The 11,892-nt window shown below is 51.8% G+C and overlaps 1 protein-coding gene across 11 annotated transcripts in view, besides 2 other annotated features; it reads right to left on the reverse strand.

Annotated features, from left to right (window-relative positions):
- Nucleotides 1-11,892, reverse strand: part of KLHDC4 (kelch domain containing 4) — a 67,841-nt gene that overhangs the window by 22,211 nt on the left and 33,738 nt on the right. For 10 of the 11 annotated variants that reach the window (NR_147833.2, NM_001184854.2, NM_001351938.2 and 7 more), the window contains 2 exons: nucleotides 10,196-10,288; nucleotides 6,409-6,568 (listed from right to left, as the gene is read on the reverse strand). Coding sequence is in view for 10 of the 11 variants with exons in the window: in NM_001184854.2 (NP_001171783.1) it covers nucleotides 6,409-6,568; nucleotides 10,196-10,288 (253 nt within the window). In the remaining variant the exon portion in view is untranslated. The remainder of the gene's footprint in view (nucleotides 1-6,408; nucleotides 6,569-10,195; nucleotides 10,289-11,892) is intronic. The other variant, NM_001184856.2, reaches the window with a different exon arrangement.
- Nucleotides 4,139-5,338: an enhancer, noted in NCBI's record as "P300/CBP strongly-dependent group 1 enhancer chr16:87758101-87759300 (GRCh37/hg19 assembly coordinates)". NCBI's record gives its function as "activates an origin of replication core promoter dependent on BRD2, BRD4, P300/CBP, MED14 and CDK7 cofactors, with strong dependence on P300/CBP, by STARR-seq in HCT116 cells {active_cell/tissue: HCT116}" and the evidence as "EXISTENCE:reporter gene assay evidence [ECO:0000049][PMID:35650434]".
- Nucleotides 4,971-5,060: an enhancer, noted in NCBI's record as "active region_11328". NCBI's record gives its function as "activates an Ori minimal core promoter by ATAC-STARR-seq in GM12878 lymphoblastoid cells {active_cell/tissue: GM12878}" and the evidence as "EXISTENCE:reporter gene assay evidence [ECO:0000049][PMID:35858748]".

Here is an 11,892-nt window from a genome sequence, read left to right on the forward strand (position 1 = left end):
CCATGGGGGCCGCTCCTTCCCACACCACTGAGACTGTCCATCCAGGCGCCCGAAGACGACTCCTAAACCACCTTTGCCAGACGCAGGTCCAGCAACCCATCAAGAGCACAGCTCGGGCAAGCAGCGACCGCACGCACCGTGCCCTCCTCACCACACAACCACAGGTGATGAGCCCCTGCGGAGACGCCGCGCCCCTGGGGAGACGCCGCACCACATCAGTGCACAGGAGGCATCTCACGTTTTGCGGGGCTTGGGAGAGAGGGACCCATGACGAGAGGACCCCCGCCCAACCACGTGTCGCGAGAGCAGCATGAAGCCGCGCGCCCCCTCCAGGCAGAGCTGCTGCTAAAATGACACCCTGTCGGTTACGGTTAGCATCACTTCCATCAGCACCACTTCTAGTCAGCTTCCTTTTGAAAACTGCTTCAGGGAAGCTGCTCCAGAAGCCCATGCATGTGCCCTGCCACAGCCGCAGCCTCTTTGGGGACACTGCTGTCGCGATGGTTTCTGCAGAGCCAGCCCGGGGTCCCCACCGTGCCTGCCTCTCCAGTCACTCAGTCCTTTCTCCTGGAACCGGGTCAAGTCCCTCTGCGTGTCTGAACCGGGACAAGGCCCTGCCTGCTTCCATACCTGAAGCTGGGCCCCAGGGCACCTTCCCATCCACATCCGAGACCACCTTCTTAACGGCCAACGGCCACTCAACCCCCCACAGCCAAGACTTCTACCTGTCGCTTTCCAAGACTGAACATTTTCAGCTTCGCCATTAAAAAATACACCCAGAAGGCCGGGCATAGTGGCTCATGCCTGTAATCCCAGCACTTTGGGAGGCCGAGACGGGCGGATCACAAGGTCAGGAGATCGAGACCATCCTGGCTAACGCAGTAAAACCCCGTCTCTACTAAAAATATAAAAAATTAGCCGGGTGTGGTGGCAGGCGCCTGTAGTCCCACCTACTCCGGAGGCAGGAGAATGGCGTGAACCCGGTGGGTGGAGCTTGCAGTGCGCCGAGATTGCCCCACTGCACTCCAGCCTGGGGGATAGAGCGAGACTCTGTCTCTAAAAAAAAAAAAAAAAAAAAAAAAATACACCCAGAAACAGGTGTGGCCACAGGTCTGCGTGTGCTGGAACATGAGTAGAAGCCACTGTCGCGCCCAATTCCCCAGCACGAGACAAGCTGAGACAACCTGCAGCCGGTGACCTGGGAGAGCTGGGCACGGACCTCAGGGGCCAGGTGAGCACGGAGCTCTGGCTCCGAGGTCAGCCGGGATCTCCCAAGTCACACAGTCCACACTCGCAACAACTCTGTCTGCTTCTGGTATTCCAGGAGCTCAGCTCCCAAGTGGCAAATGAAAGGACGCTCTGGCCTCTGCCAGCATGCTCCACGGCCTCGCGGTAACAGTGGGGCGTGCAGAGAACAGCCCTCTCCTGGTTATGCATGGACGTTATCTCCTGACCTCCAGGCGCACAATGACAACTGAGGTCAAAACGCAGGCAGGAAGGAGGGCCCCGTCCTCAGCAGGACTCCGCCCCTCGCTGCCCATGTGTCCATGGAAACAGACCACTAGGTGATAAACCTTCCACCGTCGCGCCCCCACCCTCCCCATCCAAACACCATTTCCAAAGAGCTGTGCTGGTTCCCTGACTCTCTAAAGGAACGAGAACTCCCCCTCTCCAGAAGCTCCCACGACACCGGAAGCACATACTAAGGACTGAGTCTTTGACACGTGAATGTTGCTGGGTCTAAGGACTGAGTCTTTGACACGTGAATGCTGCTGGGTCTGCTGTCCCACACGCTGCATCTCTTTCGTTAGGATACAAGTCATCATAGTCAAAGCACTAGCTGGACCCAGACTGACTCGGAATTTATAAAACGTGGTTACGATACTGACCAAAGCTGCCGGTTCTTCGTGGCAGCGCAGAGCCTGGAGGGTGTTTAAAGTCCTCCCAAGGCTACTCAGATGCATCTCCTGAGGGAGCCTGGGACGGGATCTGGTTACAGGAGGAGGAAGGAGGGCAGGTGTCTGTGAGTTCCTCTTAATCTACAGGCAGGTCCAGCCCCAAGGTCAAGGCTCTGAGCACTACTGTCCACTTCATGAACCCGAGCTCTTCACATGTCAAACTCTGGAGCCTTGCCATGCAGAACCACGGTCAGAATGCCTTCATCTGATCAAACACTGTCAAGCACGCCACTGTCCAGGCACCAGGCACGCAAGTGGACAGAAGACTGGCCCTGTGAGACTCTCTTCTCCGGGCTGAGAGACAATGGCCAAGTCTGTAACCAGCAGGGAGGATGGTGAGCAGAAGGACAAGGACACGCAGGGGGATGGAAACTGGGGCCGCCCTGCTGAGACGAGGACCATGGGGGTTCTGCATAGAGGAGACCTGGCCTGGCTTGCATCTCTGCAGGTCACTCCAGCTGCTGCACTGTGGTGTGATCCTGAGGGCCCCGGGGAGGCGCCAGGTCTGGCAGGAGAGTGCAGTGCATGGCAGTGGGCAGGGGTCAGGCACTCTCCAAGCCACCTCTACTTGCTCAGTGAAATGTGAGGTGAGGGTGGGTGGCGGGTGGCAGGACCTCCTGGGAGCATGGACGGGGCCTGCGTGGGAGAGAGGCGTGTGCCCACAGTGTGTGGGGTCTTCTCTGGCCTGGGCCGCGCAGCAGCACAGCACAGCTGGGTCATGCCAAGAGGACAGAGCATGGCGGGTGAGGGTGTAATGGCGCCAGAGCAAGGACGAGCTTCCCCCAGCCCCAAGCTCAGGTACGGGCCATGTACCAAAGTTTCTATCAGTTCGTGCACACTGCCGCTTCAGCCATGGCGCAGCTGACCACCTGCTTAGGCTACTGACTTTTTTTTACACTCCAAACCATTCACAACTCAAATCTCTCGCTAATTCTGATAAATCTCTCATGAATCCAAACAGACAAGCTTTTCACTGCAATTCCAAATGCCACAGGCTCAGAGCCAAGAGCTACTGAACTAAGTGGATTGAGATCACCCACCGTCAGACTGAGGGCGGGTGCACGTGGCTGCAGACAGCAGCTGCTGAGAATGACACGCGACTCTGATGAAAGCGATACAGCTTAGCCGGTCTGGCTGTTCACCGTCCTGCTGCACTCTACGACACATCTGCTGGGAGAAAGCACTAGACCGGGGCATCCTGCCTGGCTTTCAGCCAAGTCAGCCTGTTCTCAGTGCCCTCCCACATGCCAGAATATCTAGACAAGCCTGACCGATGCCAGCCACTACTCCAGAAAATAGGGTGATTTTCTCTGTGCAGAACAAAAGATGACCAAGAAAAAAATCGGGTCATTCCGATCAACTCGGTACAATCTCTGACCAACTGCCATTAAAAGGCTGAAATCCTTTATTGCCAAGGCAGCAGAATGAACGTGGATCAGAATGGAGAAACAGACCTATGTTCCTGCAGGCATGTGATTTTCAACAAAGGTTCCTAAGGTATTCAATGGAGAATAAAAAGCCTTTTCTTTTTTCTTTTTTTTGAGATGAGTCTTGCTCTATTGCCCAGGCTGGAATGTAGCAGCACAATCTTGGCTCACTGCAACCTCCGCCTCCCGGGTTCAAGTGATTCTCCTATCTCAGCCTCCCGAGTAGCTGGGATTACAGGCACGCCCCACCACGCCTGGCTAATTTTTGTATTTTTCAGTAGACATGGGGTTTCACCATGTTGGCCAGGCTGATCTCGAACTCCTGACCTCGAGTGATCCGCCCGACTCAGCCTCCCAAAGTGCTGGGATTACAGGCGTGAGCCACTGTGCTCGGCCTAAAAAGCCTTTCCAACAGATGCTGCTGAGACAAGTGAGTATCTACATGGGGGAAACAGCCTCAACACTCACCTAATGCTGCTCTTGAGAATTAGTCCCGGGCAGATCACAGGGCTAACTGTGAAACCATATCATTTTTAGAGAAAAATAAAAGAAAATCTTTGTTACTGAAGCTAAACAAGGTCTTCCTGTATCACAGACCGCAATAATCACAAAAGAAAAACGTAATAAATTAGATTTTATCAAAAACTCAAAGCTTCTCATCAACAAACACTTCGGAAGGTGACCAGCCAAGCCACTACTGGGAGGGTATTTGTAATCCACACACCTGAAAAGAACTGGTGTCCAGAATGTCACCTTCTGCAACTCACTAACAAAAACTACAGCCCATTAAAAATAGCAGAAGACATGAACACACACTTCAGGAAAGACAAGCTCATGAAAAGCACTCAACACCAGCAGTCATGAGAGAAATGAGAATTAAAACCACGAGGTACCACACATCCACCAGAGCAGCTAAAAACAGAAAGACTGACGCCATTGGGGCTGGTATGAACAGGGGGCAACTGGAACTCCCCAACATTTCCAGCACAAGTGGAACCGGCCACTGCTTCGGGAAGAGAGCTGACCATTCCTTATTAAATAACACCCACACCCACACCCACCCCAGGGCCCAGCAGCTCCACTCCAGATATCTATTTACCCAAGAGAAACCAACACACGCAGCCACTCAAAAGATTATTATGGACGTGCTCATAGCAGCTTCAGTCACAGCTGCTTCCAAAGGCTGTGTCTTCTGAAGAACGGAAACAGCCCAGGTGTCCAACGAAAAACAGAACCACAAACTGTGGGACAGTCATATAATGGAACACTTCAGCACGAAGCAGCAATGAACAGAAACATGCAACACGTGGGTCTGAAAAGCTGAGGGAAAGAAGACTGGCCCCACACATCTGGGTGACTTGTTTAGCAGAAGCTCCAGGACAGGCAGATCTATTACGGTGGGAAAATCAGAGCAGCGTCACCTCTGGGCGGAGGGGAGGGTGGGCAGCGGGGCCGAGTGGGAAGGGCACGGCAGGATCAGGGTGTGAGTCACACGGTGCCCGCACTTGTAAAAATGTGTCCCCTCACTGTGGGTCAATGACGCATAGGAAATTACCACCGACTACAGGCGCCCGCCACCACGCCCGGCTAATTTTTTGTATTTTTAGTAGAGACGGGGTTTCACAGTGTTAGCCAGGATGGTCTCGATCTCTTGACCTCGTGAGCCGCCCGCCTCGGCCTCCCAAAGTGCTGGGATTACAGGCGTGAGCCACCGCGCCCAGCCTAAGCATAGCAAAATCTTAATAGCAGGATCTAGGAGGAGTATACAGGTGTTCCCCGTAAAATTCTTTCAAAAGTTAGCTGTGGTTGAAAATTTTCAAAATACAAAGGATTTTTTAAACCCCTACAGTGAGATACTACTTCATACCTCTCAGATTCACAGAAATGTAAAGGTTGGCAGAGTGTGAAATGGGAGTGAAGCAACAGGAACACTTGAGTTCCGAGGACAGAGCCTGTGCCAGCCGCCTCTGTGAAGCACACGCCCCACGAGCAGCAGGCACATGTGAGGAGCACACACTCCACGAGCAGATGCCAGTACACGTGCAGAGCACACGCCCCAAGAGCAGGAGGCTCCGGGGTGGGCGCGAGAACATTCCTGTCAGCACTGTTCTCAGGTTACCAAAGAAACAAGCCCGTTAACAGGAGCGAGGAGAATTTCATTCCACAGAGACTACTACACAGTAGTGAGCGTCCATGGTGCAGGAAGGAGACCCTCAGAACACAGAATCGCTCACACTGCACTGCTGACAGGGGTGTGGAGAACAGAACAGGGCCCTAACACGGCACCAAGTTCACAGAGGAGCCGATTAACACTATCTCTATTTCTAATTCTATACAAAGAACTGTTTATATTCAACCAATGAGTAATCCCATGTGAAAGCTTCAATGTTCATGAAACTGAAGAGACCACAGACAGCAGCGCCTATTTTCCCACGCCGCAACTCACCCGTCTCCCCACCCCGCGCCTCGCCCGTCTCCCCACGCCGCGCCTCGCCCGTCTCCCCACGCCGCGCCTCGGCCCGTCTCCCCACGCCGCGCCTCGCCCGTCTCCCCACGCCGCGCCTCGCCCGTCTCCCCACGCCGCGCCTCGCCCGTCTCCCCACGCCGCGCCTCGCCCGTCTCCCCACGCCGCGCCTCGCCCGTCTCCCCACGCCGCGCCTCGCCCGTCTCCCCACGCCGCGCCTCGCCCGTCTCCCCACGCCGCGCCTCGCCCGTCTCCCCACGCCGCGCCTCGCCCGTCTCCCCACCCCGCGCCTCGCCCGTCTCCCCACGCCGCGCCTCGCCCGTCTCCCCACGCCGCGCCTCGCCCGTCTCCCCACGCCGCGCCTCGCCCGTCTCCCCACGCCGCGCCTCGCCCGTCTCCCCACGCCGCGCCTCGCCCGTCTCCCCACGCCGCGCCTCGCCCGTCTCCCCACGCCGCGCCTCGCCCGTCTCCCCACCCCGCGCCTCGCCCGTCTCCCCACCCCGCGCCTCGCCTGTTTCCCGGTCCCACGCCTTGCCTGTTTCCCCACCCCCCGCCTTACCTGTTTCGAGTAGCCCCCATAGACGACGATGCCGCCCTGGGGAGTGACGGACATCTGGCAGCCTGATCTGGGTGTGGGCCCCGTCCCTGACGGGGACAGCTTGCTCCATGTGAAGGTGTCCAGATTAAAGGCATACACGTCGTTGTAGTAGATGTAATCCCTGGTTAGAAGAACAGCAGCTGTCAGGGTCCGTAACATTGGGAAAAGCCCTGACATTAAAAACTGAACTGATTTAAATTAAAGGTAAATTTCCTACTGTTTGGGGAAAAACTCAAACCATTTTTCTCCTCTGCTCTTACACCAACACAACAATCAACACAGAAACGTGGCCGCTTTCCCTGCAACGAGCCAGAGACGCCAGTCAGGTCTCCTCAAACTCAATCTTGACGCAATCTACCTGGAGACAGGGCAACATTTTCACCTGTTTAATTCAAGTTTGAATTGATATGAAAGGACCACAAGCACGTATGAGTTTGCATTTGAAAACCGGAAATAATGCTGGCCCACAGAGGCAGAGGAATTTAATCTGAAAGCCATACTGCGTTTTCTTACACAGTTAACACAATCAGAGACAATTCCATTAGGTTATTAGGTGTGCAACCGTAAGGGCAGCAGTGAATGGCGCCTCCAAAGGGATGATCAGAACGGAGGTGTGAGCAGCCTGGCAGCAAGGGTGGTAAGGCCCCACAGTGGACTGGAGGGGTGAGCGAGGGGACTGGGCGCTCCAGGGAAACTGAAGACCACAGAAGCCGACCCTCTGTGCCCGAAATCACAGCGCGGCAAGGAGGCCCCGCAGCCTTGCCCTGCTCAGTGCCTGCCGGACCCAGCACGCAGACTGGGCTGAACAGGGAAGTGGCAGCTTTGCTGGAGGCATGGGGAGACTCGGAGGCGCACCCAGAAAGTCCTGTCCTAATGTGGAACTTTGACACAATTATCGTGAAAGCGTAAGGGGCTGCTCTCCAGCTACTCAAAAAGGAGAGCCAAACTCATTTTTTAAGGAAAGCATGGAAGAGCAAGCAGCTCTAGCCCAAGTCTCAAGTGCCCGGTTTTCTCCTGTTTGTTCCTGTTTTGTGTGAAGCAGGAAAAGTCACAGGGCGTTTACCCAGCACCAGCTGCCACATCTGGTCTTAAGATAAACAGCCTGGGCACAGTGGCTCACACCTGCAATCCCAGCACTTTGGGAGTCTCAGGCAGGTAGATCACTTGAGGCGAGGAGTTCAAAAACAGCCTGGACAATATGGTGAAACCTTGTCTCTACTAAAAACACAAAAAATTAGCCAAGCATGGGGGCGGGTGCCTATAATCCCAGCTACTCAGGAGGCTGAGGCACGAGAATAGTTTGAACCTACGAGGTGGAGGCTACAGTGAGCTGATCACGCCACTGCACTCCAGCCTGGGCGATCGAGTGAGAATCTGTCTCAAAAAAAGAAGAAAGAAAAGATAACCTGACCTTGCTGACTGCAACTCAGACTGACCACATCCTTCGCAGGACGATGGCTCTTAATATAGATAGAATCTGAGGAATGTGGAAATGTGGAAGCGTGTAATCTTTAAAAGACTGCTACAGACCACTGTTTTTTTCAGATTTCACGTCGCAGATTTTTAGTACAAAGATTCTACTTTGCACGTAAGATAAATACAGAATATTTTCTCTATAAATGCAGAATAGAGTTTAAGGAAAACTCCCAAGTTGGTATTTGAATAATTTTAAACAAGATAACAACAGCTTTGAAAAAAGTTCTGATTTTAAAATGGTTGCAAGTTAAAACAAACATGAAGCATGATTTGATTTATAACCTGTAAGTTCAAAGGAGGAAGGGGCTGTACAATCTCACTGTCCTACACATAGTAGGTAATGAATTAATGCTCTGACAAACTTATGTGTGCATTCTGACAATTATTTGTTTTAAAATAAATTTTAAGAATGAACATAAGGCTAGGCGCGGGGGCTCAAGCCTATAATCACAGCACTTTGGGAGGCCGAGGCATGTGGATCATGAGGTCAGGAGTTCGAGACCAGCCTGGCGAACATAGTGAAACCCCGTCTCTACTAAAAATACAAAAATTAGCTGGGCATGCGGCTCACTTCAACATCCGCCTCCCCAGTTCAAGCGATTCTCTTGTATCAGCCTCCCGAGTGCCTGGGATTAAAGGTGTGCACCACCACACCTGGCTAATTTTTTGTATTTTTTAGTAGAGATGAGTTTTTGCCATGTTGGCCAGGCTGGTCTCAAACTTCTGGCCTCAAGTGATCCACCCACCTCAGCCTCCCAAAGTGCTGAGATTACACATGTGAGCCACTGTACCCAGCCTTAAATACTTTTTAGTTTGAATTACATTTTTAAATCTTTCCCCCTTGAAAAGTATTTAAGAATTTGGATCCCTTTTCCCCCCGAATTCACAAAATTAATGAGACTATATCAGTGAAGAAAATCTGAAACCCGGCTGGGCGCGGTGGCTTACGCCTGTAATCCCAGCACTCTGGGAGGCTGTACAGACTTATCACGATGGATCAAGAATCACGAGAGGGTGCGACTGGACTCACCATGTGACAAAGGTGTGAGTGGCACCTTCACATCAATCAATTGCCATGCTGGTTCCTGAGGGACCAGTAGAGAAAGAGGGCTTCAAATGAGGCCCCGGAGATACAGACAGCCACTGTCTCTGACACCACGATGCCAGCAGAGAGCCTTCAAAGATGACCTTCACCAGGGTTGCAGAGTCTGCGACACTTCACTCAGAACACAACTGCACTTATGACAGAAACAGGGATAACCAGCTCCCCTGTGTCTTGCTTTTCTGGACTGAACTAAGTAAGCTCAAGAAGATAACGTGAGCAGATAACAGGCCTAAAACAATGAGAGAGCCCGCAGCTCACCCTGGGCAGCCATGCCAGCTGCACGAACACCCACGTGACATCAAAAGAGAACCGCAGGCCTCTTCCGGCATCGCTGTGGAGAGTGTGCTATCACTGCTCTCCCGGACAGGAGTGTTTTGAAGTGATTACAGACCCGTGGCTCTCAAAGTGAAGTCCCCTGGCCAGCAACGTCAACATCACCTGGGAGCTTGTTAAAATGCAGATTCCTGGGCCTCACTCCAGGCCTCTGACTCAGAGCTGCGATCAGCACTCTAACCAGCCCTCTAGGGTATTCTGAACCAGGCTAAGGTTTGAGAATCCCATTTTATTTTTTTATTTATTTATTTTTTCAAACGAAGTCTCGCTTTGTCACCCAGGCTGGAGTTCAGTGGCATGATCTCAACTCACTGCAACCTCCATCTCCTGGGTTCAAGCGATTCTCCTGCCTCAGCCTCCTGAGTAGCTGAGATTACAGGCACCTGCCACCACGCCTGGCCAATTTTTGTATTTTTAGTAGAGACAGCGTTTCACTATGTTGGCCACGCTGGTTTCGAACTCTTGAGCTCAAGTGATCCACCCGCCTCAGCCTCCCAAAGTGCTGGGATTATAGGCGTGAGGCACCATGCCCAGCCAAAACCCCATTTTAGATAGAACTAGCCACATCATTTGCAGGACCTGGTGTAAAATTAAAATGTGGGGTCCCTTGTTCAACAATGGTTAAGAATTTCAATAGGAATACAGCATGAAGCCAGTGTGAGGCCCGGTGTGAGGCCCTTTGGAGGGCAAGGCCCTGTGTGGCTGCCCAAAGCTCATGAAGCTGGATTTGGGAGGATGGGTGCGTCTTTCTTGTGTATTCAGAATGCTCTTTCTATAAAAAGCCCACTCCTTAATGCTTCAGGAGAGAAAGATTTTTCCGTTCTTGGTACCAACCGTGTACTTTCATGGAAGCCACCAAACAGGATCAATTGTCTCTTCCAGGCCACCATCCGATGTCCACTCCGACCCGAAGGACCGCCTGTTGATCTAAAATGAAATAAACAAAAAGACACTATCAACCTGCTTAATTTCTGGTTGTTCTAAAGACGACAACAACAAACAAAATCCAATTTTTACACTGATTTCTGTTTTGTGAGCACTTACTGCTCACAAATTAAATACCATTTAATCTGATCTATCAACTACCAAAACCATCCTGCTAAGAGCCCAGCTAGCTAAGCTCAAACCTCAAGAATAAAACAGGAGAACATCTCCAAGACCTTGGACTGCATAAAGATTTCCTAGGTAGAACATTATAAACTGGACTCCGCCAACATAAAAAACTTCAAAAATACACCATTAGAAAATAAAAAGACAAGCAACAGACAGAGAAATATCTTGAAACACATGACTGACAAATGACTTGTATCCAGAATACATACAGAATTCTTTTTTTTTTTTTTTTTTTTTTTTTTTTTTTTTTTGAGATGGACTCTCCCTCTGTCTCCCATGCTGGAGTTCAGTGGCCAGATCTCGGCTCACTGCAACCTTCGCCTCCAAAGTTCAAGCGGTTCTCCTGCCTCAGCCTCCTGAGTAGCTGGAATTACAAGCGTGCACCACCACACCTGGCTGATTTTTTGTATTTCTAGTACAGATGGGGTTTCACCATGTTGGCCAGGCTGGTCTCGAACTCCTGACCTCAAACCTCAAGTGATCTGCCTGACTCAGACTCCCAAAGTGCTGAGATTACAGGCATGAGCCACTGTGCCCGGCCCAGAATTCTATCTTAATAGTAAGATAAATGACCCAATAAAAATATAGGCAAAAGATTTGATCAGAAAGTTCGTAAGATAGAAAAATGGGGGGAAAAAAGATGGAAAAAGGCCAATGAAAAAAGGAAAGATGCCCAACATCACGAGCGGTCAGGGAAACATATGCCAAGTCCACAGTGACTTCCTACCACACATGGCTGGGCACCCGAGATCAAGACAACATCAAGTGCTGGCGAGGACATGGGGCTGCTGGAGCCATGGCACCGGTGAAAACGTAACACAGTGAAACAACGGTGAAACATAAACTTAGCGCACAGCTTAGCAATCTGACATAAGACATGGACTCAAGAGAAAGGAAAACACCAGTCCACACAGACGGACATGCACAAGTTTATACACGCTCTTGTGTCACCACCAGCAGCCGAGCTGTCCCTCAGTGGGTGAATGAACAGCATGTGGTGCTCCCCACATGGGGGAGGACTTCTCAGAAACAAAAAGGAATTGTTTACTGATGCACACAGCAATGTGAATGAATCTTAAAAACATCTCGCTGAAGGAAGGCAGGTTCTGCTGGACTCCATGCACACGAGCGTCTTAAAGGTGAGATCCGTCTTCGGCCCAGGATAGCTGCTCGGGGCAGGAGCTGGGAGGGGACCAACTACAGCTCTCTGGGGTGACAAGGGCCTACATCTTGTCTGTGGTGCTAATTACATAAGTGTGCATATTTCTTTTTTTTTTTTTTTTTTGAGACAGCGTTTCATTCTTGCCCAGGCCGGAGTGCAGTGGTGCAATCTCGGCTCCCTGCAACCTCCGCCTCCAGGGTTCAAGTGAATCTCCTGTCTCAGCCTCCCAAGTACCTGGGATTACAGGTGCCTGCCA

The sequence above is a fragment of the Homo sapiens genome, chromosome 16 (assembly GCF_000001405.40).
Source record: "Homo sapiens chromosome 16, GRCh38.p14 Primary Assembly".
In the NCBI taxonomy this organism is placed as follows: domain Eukaryota; kingdom Metazoa; phylum Chordata; class Mammalia; order Primates; family Hominidae; genus Homo; species Homo sapiens.